At 45.9% G+C, this 21,731-nt stretch overlaps 1 protein-coding gene and 1 long non-coding RNA gene across 9 annotated transcripts in view, besides 2 other annotated features; one reads left to right on the top strand and one right to left on the bottom strand.

Moving 5' to 3' along the window:
- PLXNA4 (plexin A4) overlaps positions 1-21,731 on the bottom strand; it is a 525,349-nt gene that overhangs the window by 225,784 nt on the left and 277,834 nt on the right. The gene's annotated exons all lie outside the window — the stretch shown is intronic.
- Positions 2,700-3,235: an enhancer, noted in NCBI's record as "H3K27ac-H3K4me1 hESC enhancer chr7:132036582-132037117 (GRCh37/hg19 assembly coordinates)". NCBI's record gives its function as "activates a minimal SCP1, AML or CMV promoter by ChIP-STARR-seq in naive H9 embryonic stem cells {active_cell/tissue: H9 hESC(naive)}" and the evidence as "EXISTENCE:reporter gene assay evidence [ECO:0000049][PMID:30033119]".
- PLXNA4-AS1 (PLXNA4 antisense RNA 1) lies at positions 3,211-21,572 on the top strand. Its single transcript, NR_199030.1, has 2 exons — positions 3,211-3,258; positions 18,520-21,572. It is a non-coding gene; the product is annotated as a PLXNA4 antisense RNA 1 (long non-coding RNA).
- Positions 3,236-3,770: an enhancer, noted in NCBI's record as "H3K27ac-H3K4me1 hESC enhancer chr7:132037118-132037652 (GRCh37/hg19 assembly coordinates)". NCBI's record gives its function as "activates a minimal SCP1, AML or CMV promoter by ChIP-STARR-seq in naive H9 embryonic stem cells {active_cell/tissue: H9 hESC(naive)}" and the evidence as "EXISTENCE:reporter gene assay evidence [ECO:0000049][PMID:30033119]".

The following is a 21,731-nucleotide window of genomic DNA, read 5'->3' on the forward strand; positions in this document are numbered from 1 at the left end:
CACATGTTTGAGCTTTTCTTGAAAGATTTTTTTTAAATAAATAAAAGGGTTATTGAGCTCTTTTTTCCCCTCCCTTTCTTTTAACAGCACCTTTCAACCCAGGAGCTGCCAAAGAAGTTATAAGCCGTGCTATGTATAGAAGCCACGTCACTCCCTACTGAAATAGAGAAGAGCAGCATCTCCCCCACAGCATTGAGGGAAAGAAGAGGGAGCAACTGGGTCCAGCCAAAACAGGGTGTGGGGGTAGGGGGCTGGTGGGGTCGGAGGAGTGGCTGCAACCCTGCCTGGTGTGTGCAGGGAGCCAACACAGGGAGGGCTACCAAGGGGGGCCACTGCCAGGAATTGCAGCATTTTTGTGCTGGACAGAGCTGCCTCAGGGCATCTCATTCCCACTCCTAGATGTAATTGATCATATTTGGAAAGGCCCTCAGGGACAGGAAACTTGATAAATTCCCATTCCAATGTTTCACGACCCTGACAGTAAAGGAGCTCATCCTAATAATGAAGCTACAGGCTGCTTCCCACAGTTTAAATGCATTTCCCCTTCTGATGTCCTTCGTGGAGATCAGGAACAGCTGGTCACTCTCCTCCCCATGATAACCCCTCTTATATTGAGGATGGGTATCCTGTTGCTTTTCACCCCTTGCTGCTTCTTATTAATAAAAAAAAATAAAACTCCAATTTCTGTATCTTGCCATCAAATGCCCTTTTCCTTTGTCCCAACTCAACCCATCATCACCGTCCTTTTTTTTAAGTATATTTTTTCTTCTGACCTTGTTGCAAAATTGATGGCTCAGGAGTAAATATCATTCCCATTGTACCATCCCAAAAATGGAGGCATACACATTAGGACCAGGTGAAGGGAAGGAAATGAATGTGTGCTGCAGCCCTCCCCTTTGTAAGCTGTTCCCCACATTCTCTGAGTGAATCTTCAAAATCCCAACCTCCTGTTCACAAATCCAGAAGTTAAGATTCAGATAAGTAAGGGGTTCAAGATGATCTGGTTAATCATCACCACAGCTGAGGTTTAAATTCTGTTCACAAGTTAATTGTTTATTAACTTGCAGACCAGTTCAGATCAAGAATACATTAACTCAGGGCCAGGTGCGGTGGCTCACACCTGTAATCCCAGCACTTTGGGATGCTGAGGCAGGCAGATCACTTGAGGTCAGGAGTTTGAGACCAGCCTGGCCAACATGGTGAAACCCTCATCTCTACTAAAAAATACAAAAGTTAGCTGAGCATGGTGGTGCGCACCTGTAGTCCCAGCTACTTGGGAGGCTGAGGCATGAGAATTGCTTGAACCAGAGGTGGAGACTGCATTGAGCCAAGATTGTGCCACTGCACTCCAGCCTGGGCAACAGACTGGGAGTCTGTCTCAAAAAATAAAAATAAAAAATAAAAAAATAAAAGAATACATTAACTCCATTCAGAGAAATGCAAATCATAGCGTCAATGAGCAGGAGATGCCATTTCCCACCCGCTGGGATGGCTAGAGTAAAGGATAGAAAATGACAAGTGTTGGTGAGGGTGTGCAGCAATTGGAACCCTCACACATTGCTGGTGGGAATGGAAGTGAGGTGGCTGCTTTGGAAAACAGCCTGGCACCTTCTCAAGTGGTGAAATAGATTTACTATATGATCCCAAAATTCCACTCCTTGAAATATATGCAAGACAAATGAAAACATATATCCAGACAAAAATGTATACACAAATGTTCATAGCAGCATTATTCAGAATAGCCAAAAAAGGAAACAATGCAAAAGTCCATCAGATAAAGAATGGGTGAATAAAATGTGGTATATCCATACAATGGAATATTAGTGGCAAGGAAAAGGAATGAAGTACTGATCCATGCTACAATGTGGCTAAACCTTGAAAGCATTATGCTGAGTAAGAAAGAAGCCAGACACAAAAGGCTACATATAAGATTCCTTTTATACACAATGTCCAGAATAGACAAATGTACAGAGAAAGATAGATTAGTGGCTACCTAGGGCTGGGGGCCATGTGGAGCTGGAGAGGGTGATGGCTAAGGGATTTGAGCTGTCTTTTTGCAGCAATAAGAATGTTCTAAAATTGATTGTGGTGATGGTTGTGCAACTCTGTAATTATAGTAAAAGCTACTGAATTGCAAAAGCCATTGACTTGTACTCTTTAAATAGGTGAATTATACCAAATGTGAATATATCTCATTAAAGCTGTTTTTTAAGAGTACTTTAAATTCAAAAACTCTGCTTTTTAAATGTTTGAGAATCCTTTGTCCTTATAAAGAATTGATTCAAAGTTCCATAAAGCGGATTCAGTTTCCAGATTGTGTTGATAAGACTTGCCCATGGCTGGCCACCCCGTCATCTCTAGCAGAGGGTGTGTGAGAATGGCCGTTGGCTCCAGCTTCCTGGGAGGGGAGACCCAAGGCCCAGGAAGAAAGCGATGAGTCCTTTCTCATCCAAAGGTGCATGCCCAAGATACCTGCTTTGAGGTACTTCCCATCCACCTTCTCCATTACAATGGAAGGCAACAAAGCCAACAGGAAGCACCTTGTCCATGTGCACCATGAGTCAAGTCACATGTAGGACCCAGCCAAGGACCTAGAGTCCCTGCCACATCCCAGAACCACACTTAGGTAGCAGGTACCAGGCCTCTGAGCTGGAAGCAATGTGGGGGAAGATGCGCCCACCTCCTGCTCACTCCTGCCTCTCTTGGTCATTCCACAGAGTTCCAGAGAAAGAGATAAAGGAGACAAAGAAAGAAAAGAAGAAAAGAGCATGCAGAGACCAGTTGGAAAATAAAAGGGGGCCAATTCCCTCTTATTAAGCCTGTTATTAGGCTGCGAATCAAATTAAACCACAGGGCTTTCCACTTACAGAGTGCTATTTTAAGGCTTATTAGACTATATTAGGATTGGCATACATTTCCACTGACATAATATCGGCCTTTAATTGGATTTAAGGGCGAGGAGGCTGCATTCAGCTGGAATAGGGTCCCTGCAAGGAGAAACTTGCTATTCTCCTCACAGCTTCCCCACTTCCCCTGCTGGCTGCCATCCCAGGGGCTGGGCAGACCCTGTAACCCTTTCAGATCCAAAACACAGCTTTTTTCCTCCTCCTCCTCCTCTGATAAGTGCCCAGAGGCCGAAGCAGGCCCCCCTCTCGCCTACGTGTGCCCATCCCTGACTGGCCAGCTTCCGGTACTCGGTGGCTGTAGGAGGTGCAGAGCTGTGCGTGCCTGCCGAGGCTGGGCAGCAGACTTCAGACTGTGAGTAGAGCCCCAGGGAGGGAGGCCAGCCTCCCCCTCCTGCTTCCAAGCTGCCGTGGGCGAGATTGGCAGTGGGAGGTGCAGGAGTTTTTCATGGGACAGTGATGAAAAGGGGGACTTGGGGTTGGAAGCAGAGTTTACCTTGACCTTTGAATCTCCTCCCATCCCCTGCCTGGTCAATCCTTGAAAGACCCTCAGGGGCACGTGGTAGAACCTGAATACAGGAGGGATATGGGAAAAAGTTCACACACTATGGGGAAGCGAACACTCTCCGGGCTGGTGGCAGTTTCCAGACACTTGTGACCAACTTCTCAAAGCTGCAGCATCCTCCTACGTAAAATAGGAACACGCTTTCCTTCCACTCGGGATTGCTTTGAGAATTAATTGAGATAATACAGCTAAAGTGGTGAGTAGGAGGCTTAATAACGTTTAGTGCCTTCTCCCCTTTGCTGTACAAATTTCAGATCTTTCTACCAAAAGGCATCATAAAAGTAACAGACCTCACCAGTCAAGTACGTTGCAAAATAATCTTGGGAGGGGAAATATCTTGGTACAGAGACAAGTATGTATGAAATATCACTTCCCAAAATATTGCTCAAACATGAAAAAAAAATCCCAAATTCCTTAACATTTTCCACTAATATATGTGAACGTCGCCTGCTCCCACTTGCCAAGATGTTTCTTGGCTATACTTTGATGTCTTCAATTTCCACGCTTGTTTTTAGCTCTTCTGCCAGAGCCATGTGCTTGTTTATTTTTACTACATTTTTATGACGTTTCTGCTATTGCAATAAGTTTTGCATTATTAGTTTTATCAAATAACAGAATGTCTGGTTGGCTGGCTGAGATTTATTGGCCCAGTTTTTATGGCTCCATCCCAGAACACTTTTTGTGATTACTTTCTAAGTTGTTCTTAGATCCATTCTTAAATATGTGCTTATTCCTTTATTAAATCACATCTGAGGACTAATTGTTATGGTATAAACTTAGCATCAGTGCAATGCCAATTGCTATAATCTTACCATTATTACTTAATCACAGGTTTGTGTACTCGGTTCTATGCAACATATATATATATATATGTTGGAAAAGTTGCTTGGAAAGCTGAAATTTACAAACTGCATTTCTTCCTATATTCACTAGGAAGTTTCTCCTCCTAATACATATTATCTCACCTTGAAATATCTGTTTGGCAAGTTCTGTTTATTTGGGATGTTGACTTTCCTGAAGCTCGAGGAAAACCTTATTACAAAACAAAACAAAAAAACACAAGCATGATTTATTTCATCCCTGCATTAGCTTCCTCTGCTGTTCTTATTTGACCCAATAAGTCTATGAATGACTTGGTTCTATGGTTGAGAGGCAGAGAAAGGATGAATTTCCTCCATTTATTATGGGGAGAACTTGAGGTGGGGGGCAAGCAGTATCTTGCTCAGCCCTGCAATGAGGTGTCAGTTGTCCTGTTTTCTGCAAGGAAGGTCCTCATAGCCTGGCAATAATGAAGTCTGTTGTGCTTCTTGAAAGCTTTGCAACCCCTGAAAGTCTGAATTCTTTTCAAGTCAGATCTGTTTTCCTCATGGAGCCTGAGCCCAGGGTTTTCTTCTCCCGTCCAACCCCCAACACATGTCCTCATTGCTCACTGACCCCCAGAGAGTTCCACATCAGTAAGAGTGGGACCTCCTGGAATGTTCCCCCAAGGGGACATCAAAGGAGCAACTGTCCTGGCGGGTTTGGATTAATGGCATCTGAATCATTACAGCCAGAAATGTGTATGCCTGTAAGCCTGGGGCACCAACAGTGTGTGCGTGTGTGTGTGTGTGTGTGAGTGCACTGCACACTGAGCCTGTGCATATTAAGGGGTTTAAATCAGGAATGAGCGCAAATCCACAAACATGTATCCCTGTGAACTCACGGTACTCACAATTTAGCCAGGAGGAGTTTTTATTTGAAACCCACTGGGGTCTAAAATCTTTTTAGGGCTCAGTTTTCTGGAGTTGAAGTGTTTTACATTCCCACTTCTGCTCCTATTCTACTACAGTTCTTCTTTCCCCATCAGGGAATAGACTATTCTGATGGCAGAGGGTGGTAGGCAGGAGCCTTTCATAAAAATAACTTTTGATCATAATGCATCATCATTATCATCAGCGCTATTTAGCTCTAACGCAGGTAGGTCACTGGAGTAGGGGCAGGCTTCTTGGTGAATGGCTCTTGGATGTGCTTTTTTGTCCACATGTGTGTGTCCTAATGTACCCCTGCTCTGCAGATGGCTCTAATTAATCAGGACAGTGAAAGCTCTTGGAGAGGGATTCTTTTTCTTCAAAAAGGAAGATGCTCTAGCTCCTCCCTCCACTTAGCAACCAGCACGTACAGATGTGGCAAAGGCAGAGAAATAGAGAAGTGGTAGGAAGTTTCACAAGGGCCCTTTGGGAGGCAACTTGCTGACAGCCACAGGAAAATGTGGAGAAGGTGCCTGAGCCCCTTTTCAGCATGAGCATAAATGAGTCTAGTGGTTGTGGAACACAATTCGTAAAAGATGACACAAATGCCTGCTTTCTTCTACTGGTCTTATTTTAGGGGTGTTCAGGATCCAAGTACTCCTTCCTTAGGTGAAACTCTCCACGATGGGAGGTCTTGGTTTCAGGCAGGACCAAGAGCCCCCACTTTGGAAGTTCAAAGAGCCAGATGCCCCCTCTTCCTGCCTCTAGTGGTCAGGGCCCTGGGCTGGTTCATGAAGCCTTGCTCCCAAGCCTTTGGATCTCCAGCAGGTAATGCACTGGTAAGGAAGGCTGCTTAGACACTTTTCAGGATGTCAGTGGTGAGTTACCGCAGGGATGACGCTTCCTGCTAAGAGATGGCTATCACCCTTCCAGCTTCCCGTGTCCCAATTCCTGAACTTCGTCCAAGTCTGTTCCTCCAGCTAGCCATCAATTCTGGGAGGGCTTGATATCCTTCTTCATAAATTCCCTTTTTGATTTAAAATAACCTGAGTCAGTCTCTGTTAGTTGCAAGTGAAACATCCTAACTGATAAATCCCCCAGGACAGCTGACGTCAGATTTCATTAGCTGAAAGGGGTGAGCCCCACTGGCTGTGAGCAAAAAGTGCACCCCACTTTCATCACAAGTCTGGACAAATGAGACTGTTGGGTGCTCGGCAGACTCTCCCATTCAGCCGATTAATATTTCCCTGGTACTAACCATGTGCCTGGCACTGCCCTAGGAATGAGAGATGCAGCCACAAATAGGAGAAAATCCCTTTTCTCATGTAGTTTGTATCCTAGTGTGGGATGAGACAAGCAATTACAAATAGGCATATAAATCCCTCTGCCTATGCCTAGGAAGAGAGGGAGGAGGGGTAGAGGGCAAGGGGGAAGGGGGAAAAATCAAGAGGCTTTGGGGAGGGAGAGAGAAGGAGAAAAATGGAGATCATATGATGCCAACAGAGAAAAGTGTTTCCAGAAGGAGGGAGTATTCATTTTGTAAAGTGTACGAGGAGGTAGGAAGGTACCATTTTGTTAAATGATAGAGGGTAGATTTCTATAGTAGGACAAGGCTGAGAAATGACCCCAACATATCAGTGGGCAGCTGATGCAGGTTTAAGGGGAAGAGCGAGGAGGGGGTTTAGGATAGGAGAGCAAGAGGGGAGATATTTAATGCTCCTTTTGAACGTGCATTAATGGACTTGGGATATCCAGTTTCGAAGAACTGCTTTAGAAAGGGAAACCACTTTACTCATACAAGGTGAAGACATCTTAAGCCAGATCTTCCTAGAAGCTCTACCTGGCAGATCGGTGAGAAGCTGGGGTTCTATTTTTTTCCCAACTGGGCCCTCCAGTGGGTCTGTTTTTCTATCCAGGTGCTCAAATGGGAAAGCCTGAAGCTCAGATACAGCTGTTTGTGTAAATGGCAAAGTTGGGTTTATAGCAATTTAATCAGCAGCATTAATAATGTCACCTAAGCTTAATGATACCAATTATAACCACAGTAAACATTGCTGAGCCGTTTATAAACAGTGATGTTCAAGATGAACTTCCTGCATTTGGTCAATGCTGTTGTTAAAAAACAAGACTAGAAGGTTCATGTTTTGAAGATTCCCATATTCTCACTCCTGTGCTGAAAAAACAGCGCCACATAAGGGCAAACCCCTGCAAGGATGTCATCCTCTTCCTCTCTTCACTACCTGCTTTGGTCATTTCCCAAGGCCAGATCTGCATCCACCGCTGTTGTCCACCAAAACAGAGTAAGGCTACGGCAGGAGTATTATGGACCTAACCATGCCAGAACAAGGACACAGTTGGATAATTATTCTAGCCCAGGCAATATTGGTTCCCTCTATTAAGCAAGTTCTGAGAAGTCCAGGGGAAAACAAAAGGGATTGTTAAAGGTCAGATAGAGCCCATCAAAATTCTAATCAAAACAGAAGTTGGAGGCAGGACTTCGTAAGAGCTATTCCTCTCCATGGGTGGCTCTCATATGAGAAATGGAAGCTAGCCTTCCTTTTCTGAGGAAGGAACATGTATTAGAGAGTCAAAAGTACTCCCTGAGGGATTCTAATTAGAGGATGAGGAAGACAGAGGGGCCTGGGGAAGGATTCCTAAGGAAGGTTGTGAAACCACCTGTTTCCAAAGGGCTTCAACGTTAAAGGCAACATCTCTGCCTATGAGAGGTGTGGTGTCCAAATGGAGAGATGGGTGTTGGCTAAGGAATGTCGACCAGCCAGAGTCTCTTCCAGACCCAAAAGCCTGGAAAAAATGTACATGTGGCTAGAGACACCATCTTCATCTAAAAACAGCAGAACTTTCCAACCTTTTTCATGGCAGCCACAGGAAATGATAATCTTTGCAGGGCACATGGAGTAAACAGAGGGGAGGCTGGAGAGCCAGCCTGCTCAGCTGAGAGCGTGGAACACTGAGTGCCAAGCTCTGTGCCCTGCATTTCACATGCCCTCCCTCTTTCCTTTGCATCCTTCTTGCCTTCCTAATCCGCCTCAGCAAAGGGCTTCTTGCACGGTTTTCTCGTCATCAGGAGTGCATGTCTCAAGGAAAACTGCTCTTGTCCACATTCTCAGCCAAATGAGAGTATCAATTCATTTGTTCATTGTAAATAGAGTAGTGCAATAGTTTGGTCCTGAATCCGTGTTCAGTTTGGAATCTTAAGAGACCAAGATGCCAAAATACCTGCATGGCAGCGTGTTGTCTTTCCCCTGGTTGCCATGAAGATAGGATCCGCTGGAGCCTCTGACATCCCATCTCAAGCATGTGAGGGGCTCAGAACTTTTCCTAAGAGGAATTAAGGTCTGTCCTCATTCAATTTGTAGAAAGCCACTCAGCCTTCTCTTTGCTGCCAACACAAACCTTCTTTTCAGTCTAACCTCCCTGAAGATAGCAGACTCTTCAGGGGATTTTACTGCAGTGTTTGGAAATTGCATTGTGTTTTTATAGATTTGTGCGTACACCTGGTGGTCTTAGAACTCCACAGGCAACTCTAGTAAATAAATACCAGCTCTGGGCCGAGCCCAAGTTAAAGTGAAGGATTTTGTTAGGCCAAAGTCAGCGAAAGGAATTACAGAGAAATCCATGCCAGAAAGCAGGAGATTGTTAGACACAGAGCACTCCATTCAGGGGAAAGGACAACAATATATTTTTTTCCCAGCCAGTGTGTCTCAATGGAGATGAGGATTTGTGAACAAGATTCAAATTCCACTGCCACCACTAACTTGCTTTTTAGAATCCAAAATGAAGTCTTCCTGTGACTGCGTCTATGTGGCATCAACTATTTGGAAGGGAATTGAGACGTTTATTTAATTATCCAGATATTTTGAAATATACAAATCCTTTTTGTTCCCCACTTCCAATTCAGATGTTTGTCATCTGTAGCAAGCATGTGTGACTCAGGTTTCTCATCTGAAACCGGGGTTGGGTGGAGGTTCAAGTTCACTTGTCTACAAGGGATGCCCTTTCTACTAACAAGTGAGCCTGAAGCAATATACCCACAGTCTTTTGGGGGAGAGCAAAGTTTTAAGAAAAGATATTGCCTGCCAGTGTAGCTAGAGAGCAGTAGCTCTCAAATGGCCTAGTAATTTGGAGGAGAGGGTTGGTGGAGAAGAAAACGGAAGGAGGATATGACTGTGTTTTATTAGATTACTTGGAAGTAATTAGCCATATAGAATCTTTGGGTATGGCCGTTTAGAGGTTCCAGGCCATTATTTACTCACAGTTAATTCCTTAATGCATGTGTTCATTCAACAAATATTAAGTTGATGCCTACTCTATGACAGTGACTTGGGTAGGTGCTAGGAATAAAGGGATAAAAACAAGCTTTTTAAAACAACTTCTACAAGTGAGTATATAATTACATCTATGTCAAGTTCTGTGAAGAAAAGATGAATGCAGTTATGAGCGAGTATCACTGGGCACAATCTCATAGGCAGGGCTAGGGTGGGCTTGCTCAGGACAGAGCAGGGTGATTGAGACTTGAAGGTTGAAGACAGGCAGGGCCAGACAAGGCAAGGACTGGGAAGGTCAGGGTCTTGCAGGCTACATAAGGGGCACTTGATTTTATCATGGATGCAAGGAGAATCCACTGAAGGGCTTAAAATCATTTAGAAGAAAAAGCACCAGAATCAGACCACCTGGGCTCTAGACCCAGACCAATGGCTTGACTAGTGAGGTGGCCCTGAGAAAGCCATTCGACCTTCCTGTCTCAGTTTTCTCCTCTGCAAATGGGTACTACAAAGAGACTCAAAGTTAGACCTGGAAGGCACCTGAGAGTTTTGTTTTGTTTTTTTATGTTCAGCCCCCTCCTATTTCAGAAGGAAAAAGTCAAGGCTGCTTTTTTTTTTTTTTTTTTTTTTTTATTCCTGAGACAGAGTCTTGCTTTGTCACGCAGGCTGGAGTACAGTGGCTCAATCTCAGCTCACTGCAACCCGTACCTTCAGAGTCAAGCAGTTCTCCTGCCTCAGCCTCCTAAGGAGCTGGAACCACAGGTGCATACCACCATGCCGGATTTTTGTATTTTTAGTAGAGACGGAGTTTCACCATGTTGGCCAGGCAGGTCTCTAACTCCTGACCTCAAGTGATCTGCCTGCCACGGTCTCCCAAAGTGCTGGGATTACAGGCATGAGCTACCGTGCCTGGCTGTCAAGGCTCCTAATACCTGTTCTGTTCACTTCATTTGACTGTGGCAGTAATCAAAAGAAATAATACATGTAAACATATTTTGTAAAATAAAGAAAAATGTATACCTAAGGTCTTAAATTATTATTTCTGATCTCTCCCACCCTGGCCACAAAGACTCACACATCTCAATGTTCCTAAGTATTAAGACAAGAGAGATAAAAATAGAGATTTGCCTGCATGTGTCTACGTGTGTATGTCTGTGTCTTTGTATCTAAGTTTTTACTTCATTATCTATATCTAGAGAGAAAAAAGAAAAAAGATATTTGAGAGACTGGATGTAGTTCTAGGGCATTATTTACAGGGAGCGGGGAAGTCCTGAAAAATACCTTATCCCCTTGGGAGCAGTGACCTAATCAAGATGGCATAATTGCCTGTCTTATCTAAATGAAAGCATCATTTGAGAAACAGTAATGGGCCTCAGTGTGGTTTCAATTGCTATATAGTTCTCAATTGCTATTGAGTTCTCATTTGCCATGGAGTTCAGCGGCTGAAGGGTAATTATAATGTTTAACAAATATATTCCCTTTAGGGACCTGATGTTAAAGACACAACATCCCTTTTCTTATCCTACCAGATTACACAGCTCCCGGGACCATTGCTATGTACCTTAAAAGCATGGGCACTTTCTCTCCCTAAGCTTACCTTTCTGCCAGGCAGTCACTAAGAAACACGGTCTCAGAGGGTGGGAGAGACCAAGAAGTCAGGACCTCCAGGTGGGCCTGTCCCTCATCCACATGAAGCTGCCATGAGAGTTCTTGTTGTCCCTCAGGCCTTGCTAATGAACCCCAAGACAGCTTAGGAGAATATGCTCTGTCAATTATTCATCCCCGCCAGGTCCCAGGCATCATCTTTGCCTATCCCATTGCACGAAGACAGGAGATTATAAGGATCAGAGCAAAGGTGGTGCTCACTAAAAATACAGATCAGATACTCAGTTTCTCTTTAGGACTATGGGGTTACCAAAAAATAAGGGTCCCGTTCTATCCTTTCCTTAGCAAGCATATAGCATACTCATGACAGGTCTTGCAGTGACATCTGAGCTGAATGATGTTTCGACAACAACAAAAAGATAAAAATGGACCAATTTGGAAGAAGAGGCCCCAAACCCCCCATAGAGTTGTTGCAGGTGGCCAGTGCCTCTGTCCACCTCGGAGCTCAGAAGATGGCACAGAGGCCTGCGTGCTTGTAGAGAGAGAGACAGTGGGTGCTGCCCTCTGCATTGGGCTGGCTTTAGCATGCCCAGTCCTGCACAGCACCCTGGATAGCCCCTGTCTTGTTCTTCTTCCACCTCAAGTCTACCGAGTGCATTCTGCTTGGAGATGGGGGCCACATCTGCTGAATGCACATTTTATCCCTGGTGGTGGCTTTGTTCTTAACCTGGCATAGGAGCTCACTAAATGTTTGCAGAATGCATGGTAAATGGAGCAAAGAGATGAGTAAAATTGATTGTATTACTTCCAGCTGCCTGACAGTCTGCTTGAAGATACTGGCCTTAACATGGATCGTCCTCCATGCCATCCACTTCCCCAAGGACTCAGCTGTAATGAGCGCTAGGGGGTGGGTTGCTGCTCTGCTCCAGATGTGAACTCATGGGGTACTTTCCAGGGAAAACTAGGAAGAGGTAGGAGAGAGAGAAGTGTCGCAGGTTGGCAGATGACAATCATGAGGGCTGTCCACTGTGCCAGCCCAGTGACAGAAACCAGCCTCTTCAAAGGCCCCTGCAGGCCCACGATGCCTTGTGTGTGCACTCACTGCTTGGAGAACAGAGCCAACACGTGTTGTGCTGTAGGTACCTCGTGGGCTACAGAAAATGATGCGTTGATTGATTTGCTTATTGGGCCTTTTATTTATTGTGCCCAGAGTGATGGGTGAATTTAGTAAAGGAAGGAGGAAAGGGACAATCAAGTTTGAGAATGGTCTGTCAGCTGCAGAGAGGCTGCACCACAACCAGTTATTAGCTTAGAAAATAAGATTTCTCCCCAATCCTCACTTTCTCTTTTGCTAAGAGAATATTTTTTCCAACCTACATTAATATAAGAAAAATAAAAAATGTGGAGAGTGGGGCAGAAGGAGGAAAGGTTAGAGCAGGAACAGGGAGTGAGGCCAGAAATTTGTTTAACAGAATCATTTCTGTGCCTCCTTGAACACTTTGATTAAAGCCAGGGGACTAAATCAAAGCCACTGAAAGGAAGAATAAAAAGATGTCTGAAAACAATTTTGTTTGCTGGAATTTTCCCTCCTGTGTTCTATTATGGTGGGGGTGTGGCTGTGTGTGTGTGTGTGCACGCGTGCGTGAAAAAAAGTTCTATTTTGTCCTCCTTTGATCTTTCAAAGAAAAGAACATTTAAAAAAGGAAAAGAAGAAGAGAAATTGATATCAATATTGTTCCTTTTCTTTCCTTCACTTCCATCAATAACTCAACTGGATCTAAAGTGAGGTATGAATACCAATTAAGCCCAGGCAATCCACAAATGAAAACCTGCAGCATGTAATAAGAGAGGGTTTCCAAGGCCACTACAGCCACCAGGGGTTCTCTTAATCATAGGTCCTCTCCCCTCCCCTGGGCCCACTTAAGTCATAAGACCATTTAGAGGACTTTATACATCATCAAGTAAGGCCAAGATGGGAAGAGCAAGATGGAGAGGCCTCCAGTTCATACTTCCGTCTTCAATGGGTTTGCTGTAGAGCCACCTGCAGGGAGGGATCCTATTGATGTGGTAGAGCTGCTACAATCTCAGAGAAGTGGCTTGAGATAGCAATATTCAAATAAGACAAGACCATAAGCACTCATTTCTGGGTTGGGAATTGGTGTAACTAGCCCCCTTGCTCTCCAAAGAGGAACACACGCTTTCTATGCATCTTCAAAACTTCACATAAAATAGTGATAAATCAGGGGCACCCAGACTAAGAAACTGATGCAAATGCTAGAAGTGCAGAGATGGGAGTAAGCTGCAACTTGCACGCTAACTCTGACTGACTGATAGTGACTTCCTATAGTGCTGTGTTAAGAATGACTATGGGGTTGAATTTTCACTTAGTCAGAAAGTATAGTGACCCGTTAACTGATGTCTGCCATAAGGGTTAGAAGAAAGTCCTGGTATCACATGCTATGTGTATGCCAACCTGGTACACTTAAAAGAACACTTGACTTGAAGTCAAAAGACTATAAACCATGACTTTGGGAAAGACACATAGCTTTTCTGAGTCACAGGCCCTATCATTAAAAATAATAATAACAACAGGAAAACTAATGTACATATATGAATTTTGTAATTTGTGAAATATGCATGCATGCTACCTCTTTTATTGTAGTAAAGTATACATAGCATAAAACTTGCCATTTTAGCTATTTTTAAGTGTAAAGTTCAGTGTCATTAAGTACATTCACACTGCTATGTAACTATTACCACCATCTATCTTCAAAACTATTTTATTTATTTATTTTTGAAACGGAGTCTCACTCTGTCGCCCAGGCTGGAGTGCAATGGTGTGATCTTGGCTCACTGAAACCTCTGCCTCCCATGTTCAAGTGATTCTCTTACCTCAGCCTCCCAAGTAGCTGGGACTACAGGCATGCGCCACCATGCCTGGCTAATTTTTGTGTTTTTAGTAGAGATGGGATTTCATCATGTTGGCCAGGCTGGTCTCGAACTCCTGACCTCAAGTGATCCACCCATCTCGGCCTCCCAAAGTGTTGTGATTACAGGCATGAGCCACCGCACCCAGTCCCCAGAACTATTTTATCTTCCCAAACTGCAACTCTGAATCCATTAAACAACAACTCCCCATTCTTCCCTTCCCCTAGCCTCTGGCTACCATCATTATGCTTCCTATCTCTAGGAGTTTGACAACTCTAGGAACCTCATATGAGTGGAATCACACAGTATTTGTCCTTCTGTATCTGACTTATTTCACTTAGCATATGTCTTCAAGGTTCATCCATGTTGTAGCACGTATCGGCATTTCCTTTCTTTTTAAGACTGAATATTATTCCATTATATTATATGGATAGACCACATTTATTTATCCATTCATCTGTTGATGGACATTTGGGTTGCTTCCATCTTTTGGCTTTTGCGAGTAATTCTACTATGAATATGGTTGTACATCTGTTTGAGCTCCTGCTTTCAATTCTTTTGGGCATTACCCAGAAGTGTAACCGCTGGATCATATAGTAATTCTATGTTTAATTTTTTGAGGAACCATCATACTGCCACCATCTGTTCTTACATTTCAATTAGTAATGCCTGTTTGAAAAACTTTATAGAGAAGTTGAAGGGTCACAAAGAGATAAAGGTTGAAGAAATTCAAGTTGAAGTCATCCAGGTATGGCCTGGGCCTGGCCAGGGGCACATGGCAAATTGCCCTCACCTCCTGCTGCCCAGGCTGTGGCTGGCAGGCTGTCTTGCTCAGCAGAGCACCAGGGTGGAGGAGCAATAGCTTGAATCCATCCCCTTTGCCACTCGTCTGGTGTGGTCCCTGGGCCAGGACCAGTGCTCTAGTGGGGAAGAACATTCTCACTCATCAGCAGCAATGTTTACCTGGGCAGGGCGATGGCTCAGATGCCACCCTCCAGAATGCAGACCCCTTCGTGGGAAAGGCGGGGCTGGGTATGGGGAGGGAACAATGGGGAGGAATGGGCAGACATGGTGGGAGGAAGCCATTCACATTTTGGTTATGACATACTGGTGTCTAGACTTTGTCATATGGAGCAAATGACAGGATATTTGGATAGAAACTCAGCTTTCAAATAATGCGCTAACAAGAAAGAAACGCATTGCCTTTCTTTGTTCCCCAAAGCTCTGGCAGCTGGCGAGATCAGAGCTAGCCTGCCAGAGCACAAAGCTTTAGACTCCTTGTCCTCTCTGCACTGGGGCAGTGGTTTCATGTCAGCTCACAGACATTAAGAGGTTGCGCTGCCTGGATGCAGCCCAGCCCAGGGCATTGTTGACATCTGAGAGTGGCAGCCAGCTCGACAGGCTCTTCCTTTCTCCATAAAGTCATTGAGAAGTCACTGGACTTAAAAGGGCCCACAGAGGGTCATTTAGCCCCCTTTCTGCCTGGACTGGACATTAGCAAAACCATCCAAAACTATCAGGAATTTTCCTTATCACCAAACATACCCATTCCGTGGTCTTGCTCAGGGGATGTGGAGAATGACGGTTCCTTTTTCTCACTATGTTCGTAGTTTCATCCTGTGGTTGAGCTAAGTGGGCTCTAGGATGGGAAAAACCCAGTTTGACTCCTAGGGCTGATACTTCTAGTGTGTGAATTTAGGAAAATTATTACAATAACTACATCGCTTAATCCTCATATTCTTCATCTGTTAACTGGAGAAAACAGGAATGCATGCCTTATCTCAGTTAATAATATCAGGAGCCTGGCACCTAAAAGCACAATGTAAGCTCTCAGGGTTATTGTCCCATGCCAATGGAGATGTCCCCCTCCCTGGGGAAGACTGCACCAAACTCTCCCTGACAGACGTCCATCCTCGTGAATGCCCTTCCTACCAGGGCTCCTGAGAGCTGGATTTGGGCATTTCTGGGATAGCAATGGCTTCTCACCAAATTTGAAGGTTTAGGAAACAAACTTAAGGGCTCATCTCATTGAAGTCTATGTCTGGTTCATTTAACTGCTCCTTCAATAAGCTGAGAGAGCTCAGCAGTGAGTCCATAAAAAGCACTAGTGAATAATGGTCCCTTGAGTACACTGCAGAAGGTGTCCCTTCAGGGGTTTCCATGCCCTGCTCCCCCGGTCTTTCCTACGGCCCGCGTGTGTGTGTGTGTGTGTGTGTGTGTGTGTGTGCGTGCGCGCGCATGCATGGGGCAAGAGTGTGATGGTGAGTGGGGTTAGGCTGAAAGTCAGAAAACTGGATTCTATGCTCACCTCTGTCTTCAGCAAGACCCTCCCCCTTTGGGGGCTCAGTTTCCTCATCTCTAAAATAAAAGTTGTACAGTTTCATTTCTGGAATGACTTGTGGTTCAATGGATCCATCATTCCGGAACTGTGGCTGATGAATAGGAAAACCGGAAAAGAAAAGGAAGGCATTTTTACATGAGGCAGAGGGGAGAAGTGAAGTGCAAATCCAGGGCTCCTGATACCCAGGGCACACAAGAGGAGATTCAGAGAGAGAAGACAGGCATCAGCAAGTAAATCTTTCCTCTGCCAAGTGCTCTTAGATAGAAACCCAGATCCCTGAGGAAATTATTGAAACTCAATTCCTTTGAGAACGTTAAAAAGTGAGCTAGCAAAGCACATTGTGAAGAGGAAATCTGGGTGTCCTGCCCCCTCTGCTTTCATGTCGCTAACCACAGGAGATGGGGCTCCTTCACCTTCACAGTCCCTGGGGTGCCTTCCTATCTTTCAGGGAGCTTGGGGACTCCTCCAGAGAAACAGTAAGATGAGTTACAAGCCGTGAACCTGTCTCAGTAGGACTGTCTAGTTACAGGGAGCTCCATATTAAGAGAAATTGGAAGAAACCTGTAATCCAATCATGAAGCCGGGGATGGTGGTGAGTTACCTCCTGAAACACACACAGTACATTCAGAGCTCCAAAAACATTGTGCAGGAGCCAGAGGTGAGAGCCTCAGTTCTTTCCTCACTTCCAGGACCAAGAGGGTCTGTCTTTAGGGTAATAGACCCTGTGCTTTCTGAGTCTTGATTTTCCTACCATTAAAAAAAGAGAGAGGCTAGGCATGGTGGCTCCCACCTATAATCCCAACGCTTTGGGAGGCTGAGGCAGGCGGATCACAAGGTCAGGAGTTTGAGACCAGCCTGGCCAACATGGTGAAACCCCATCTCTACTAAAAATACAAAAATTAGCTGAGTGTGGTGGCGGGTGCCTGTAACCCCAGCTACTCAGGAGGCTGAGGCAGGGGAATTGCTTGAACTCAGGATGCGGAGGCTGCAGTGAGCCGAGATTGTGTGACTGCACTCCAGCCTGGGCAACAGAGCAAGATTCTGTCTCAATTAAAAAAAAAAGAGAGAGAGAATTAAATAAGAAGTATTTCTTTCTCTTGGCTACCTCAAAGTAGGGGCTTTTGGGAAATCAAAAGTAACTATTTGGGAAGAAGAGGAATGACTGATGTTGCAGAAAAGACATTCCAGCAAAGGGCCATTTAAATTTTCCTTGGAAATATTAGTTGAAAGAATAATTGACATCTGCTGTTGGAATATGATGATGAGAGCTTTAATCTTTTTTAATTATTTAAAAAAACTTTTTTGAGACAGTGCCTTGCTCTGTTGTCCAGGCTGGAGTGCAGTAGTGCAATCATAGCTCATTGCAGCTTCAAACTCTTGGGATTAAGTGATCCTCCCACCTCAGCCTCCTGAGTAGCTGGAACCACAGACACTTGCCACCATCCCTAGCTAATTTTTTTGTTGTTGTTATTTTTGTAGAGACAGGTTCTCGCTATGTTGTCCAGGCTAGTCTCAAACTCCTGTGGCTTAAGTGATCCTCCAGCCTCAGTCTCCCAAAGTGCTTGGATTACAGGCATGAGCCACTGTACCTAGCTGGTGAGAGCTTCAAATAAGCTAAGAAAGAGATATCTAAGATTACCTGGAAATGAAACTCTTGCTAAACATGGGCTCTACATGTGGATATAGAGCAAGTGCAAGTTGCAAATCATTAACTACATTGGCTATGTTCAAGGAATAGAAGTGAAAATGCTCAGCTGAGTAGCCCTGGGCTGGGCTGTGGTGGCCACACAGATCCCTTGCCTAGATCCAGAGCCTGCTAAGGATGGTGGCCTAGCAGCTCTGTCATGGACTATGACCAAAGAAGTATTTCCAAAGGATCACCATACACTGAACTCTTCAGGCATGACAGCAAGTGGGCAGCGTACCACCCTCAAAAAGGATACACACTCGGGAGTGAGGTGGCAGGGAAGGAGGGAGATACAGAAGGAACTGCCATGGAGCCTGGAAGAAGAAAGGGGGGGTGAAGGTATTGGGAAGAAAGGATGAAGGATGCAGGTGAGGGGTGGGGTGGGGAGCGGGGGATGAACGCAACACACAGGAAGACCAAGAAACCCGGAAGAATCACGAGTACAGAATAAAACCAATAATAAGTCCCCCTCTCATGCAGGGGACATCATTAGAGATGCCACGGTCCAGAGGAAGGACACATCGGCTGATACAGCTGACCACAGGTTGGAGCAGTGCATCTCTGGGGAACATCCATGAAGACCAACAGAGAATGAGAAGGACAGAGCAGCAAAGGGCACCTGCAGGGATGGAACAGCCACCAGGAGCCAGATGCTTTAACTGAACTGACTTGAGTTGAACCCTCACAACAGACCCGCCATGCAGGTACTTATTAGATAAGAGAGCCGAGGACCAGGAAGGCCAAATAGCTGGCCCAGGTTCCCCCAGGTGCCAGCGGTAGGACTGCAATTCTGCTCGTCGAAGCCCTCTCTCTTCCAACTGTGACACTTTTCTCTTAATGCTCCAGGCCTGACGGAGGGCAGAGATCACAGGGGGTGTAGAAAGGAGCTTTTTGTGATGACATAGAAAATACCCACGCACCATGGGGGCAGTTGGCAAGAGAGGAGAATGTCTTGGAAATGGGCTGGACAGCAGGGTGTTGATTGGGGCCAATGTCAATGCTGGGCGTGATCAAAGGAGGGGCAGTGTCGCCTCCATAAGAAGGGAGAACGAAGGGCATTTAGAGGGAGTGGAACAGCAGCTTATTTGAGTATTCTATTCTGCTTAGTGTTTTTCCTTTAGGTTAACTATTTGATCAACTACTAAGGTATGAGAGAAAAGAAAAGCAACAAGGAGACATGGGGGAAGAGAGCTGGATGGGGAGGGACGCGGCTGCACCCACACAGATCCTGGCTCCCTGTCGCTCTCCTTCCTGCCAGCAGCTCCTGGGCCTGCCAGGCATCCAGGGAAGCAGCTGTCTGAGCCTAAGCCCAGCTGGCAGGAACCCCCACTGACCTGGGGACCAGAGGAGGAGGTGGGCTGTGGTCTCTCCTGTCACCCTCTGTCTGCCCAGGCTGACACCTGGAGTGTCTAGAGTGGGGCCCTCAGCTGCCTGCGCTGCGGCTCACAGCACCTGATGGACACACAGGTGTGGCGCGTCCTGCTGGGCTCAAAGACACCTGCTCTGGGCACCATGCCCGTCCCCATCAACAGTTGTAGATGAGGCTGGAGCTGAGAAGAACTGACAAGCAGACGTCTGCTGAGGAGCTGGGCCCCGCCCTGAAGGAAGACAGCCCAGCCCTCCCAAAGCACATGGTTGCCAGGTGAAATTTGCAGTCACCAGCCGCCAGCCATGTGGTGACATTGGATTTCAGGCAATGACCTTGGGAACCCACATTGCATCTGCAGCAGGTGTCTGCATTCACCTCACATAGCACTCTGAAAATGTTTGCCGCTGTCAGCACCACCTGAAGGGGCTTCCCCTGCAGTCCTCTTTTCCATCCACCCTCCCCTAATTCAGACCATGCCATTTCTCTATCCTGCCGCACACCTCCACATTTGAGTTTTCCTGCTTGGATCTGCCTGGCCTGATGTGTCTGGCTGCTCAGAGCCCAGAGCCTCTCCCAGCCCTTTCACAGAAGATGAGAGAATCCCTAACGCCTCTGCCATTTGACCAAGACAGCTCCTTTCAACTTCCTCTTCCCCTCGGGCAAAATCAGCAGCAGAGACAGGACTAAGCTGAGTGGCCTAAGCCCCTCCTTTGATTCTCAGGCCCCCAGAGCCACCCAGGTGCCAGAAACCTGCTAAGACGTATCACCAGACCCCTTGCTGATATCATAAGCATTTTTTCCCCTTCTCAGCAAAACTGACAGGACATGGCTTCCTGGAAAGGAGGTGAGGGGAGGAGTCCCCAAGCCTGGTGAGAACAGAGGGAGTGCTGGTCGATGGCCCCTGTTTCTCCACTGCCACCTCAAGAAGCCTTCCAAGGAGGGCAGACTAATGCTTGCACTGGCTTGGCTAATGGAAGAAGCCAGGGGGGCTGTGTGGAAAGAATGGAAGAGCCCCCAGTGGGCATAACATACACCAAAAAGAGAGGGCACCGACCATCTGTGTTGACAGAGAAGGACATCCCTCAGTAGCCATCACCGAAAAGCAGGCACTTCATGTCTGCCCTGAAACCATCACTATGAACAAAGAGCTCATCAAAGAAAGGGAATTTTTATAGACACCCTATAGAGGAGTGATTTTGATTCCTAATCTGTCCATTACGGCCCCCCGAGAAGTAGGTATAAAAAGATGATATGCGGCCGGGCGCGGTGCCTCCTGCCTGTAATCCCAGCACTTTGGGAGGCTGAGGCGGGCGGATCACAAGGTCAGGAGATTGAGACCATCCTGGTTAACACGGTGAAACCCCTTCTCTACTAAAAATACAAAAAATTAGCCGGGTGTGGTGCCAGGTGCCTGCAGTCCCAGCTACTCGGGAGGCTGAGGCAGGAGCATGGCATGAACCTGGGAGGCAGAGATTGCAGTGAGCCAAGATCGCACCACTGCACTCCAGCCTGAGCGACAGAGTGAGACTCTGACTCAAAAAAAAAAAAAAAAAAGGTATGCAGTGTGGTCCCTGACAGCAGGTTTGAGCTCCCTTGCAAGGAGAACTCCAGCATTTAATGCAGAAGAGGCAAGAGTCAACTTGGGTGTTCTTCCTTCCCAGTCTTAGCTCTGAGTGTAGAAAATCCAGGTACATTCCTCCCGAAATGCTGTTCTGGTGAGTGGATGCAGAGAGGCTGCCCACCACTGTGTTATCACAGATGCCACCCTGGCATGAGATGCAAGGGAAGTAGAGGCAGCCATCTGGGGATGGGATTACTGGGAAGCCCACAGGCCTCACAAGCCAGAGGCACCATGGTTTCTTGACTTGGACGTGGCCTCTCAAATGCTGGAGGATGTCCAGCCCACAGCCTTTGGTGATGCTCTCCTGGCCTTATTTAGAATTCTTAATGCTGGCAAACAACTTTTATAAAATTATCCATTTGTATTTGGATGCATACATAAAAATATCCTTTATCTGTATTTGGTTAATAAAACTAGTCTTGCTCTGCCTGTATTTAGCGGTGCCAGCTATCCTGGACTCTGTTTGTGTGCCTGTGTATGTGTGTGTGTGTTTCATTGTTTCTATTCCAATCATATCACTAATAAATGTCTATGTATAACAAACTCATGCAGAGGAGCAGTGAGCAGATTATTATCCTGCATTCTATTGACTCCTTATCACCCCTTTCCCTGCCCTGCTCAAGCCCCTAGATATTGATGGGTGTGACTGAGCTAGGCCATCCTCTGCTGTTAGGCAAAACTGTGTTCCTGTGTGGGCATACC

This window comes from Homo sapiens, chromosome 7, assembly GCF_000001405.40.
Source record: "Homo sapiens chromosome 7, GRCh38.p14 Primary Assembly".
Taxonomy (NCBI): Eukaryota; Metazoa; Chordata; class Mammalia; order Primates; family Hominidae; genus Homo; species Homo sapiens.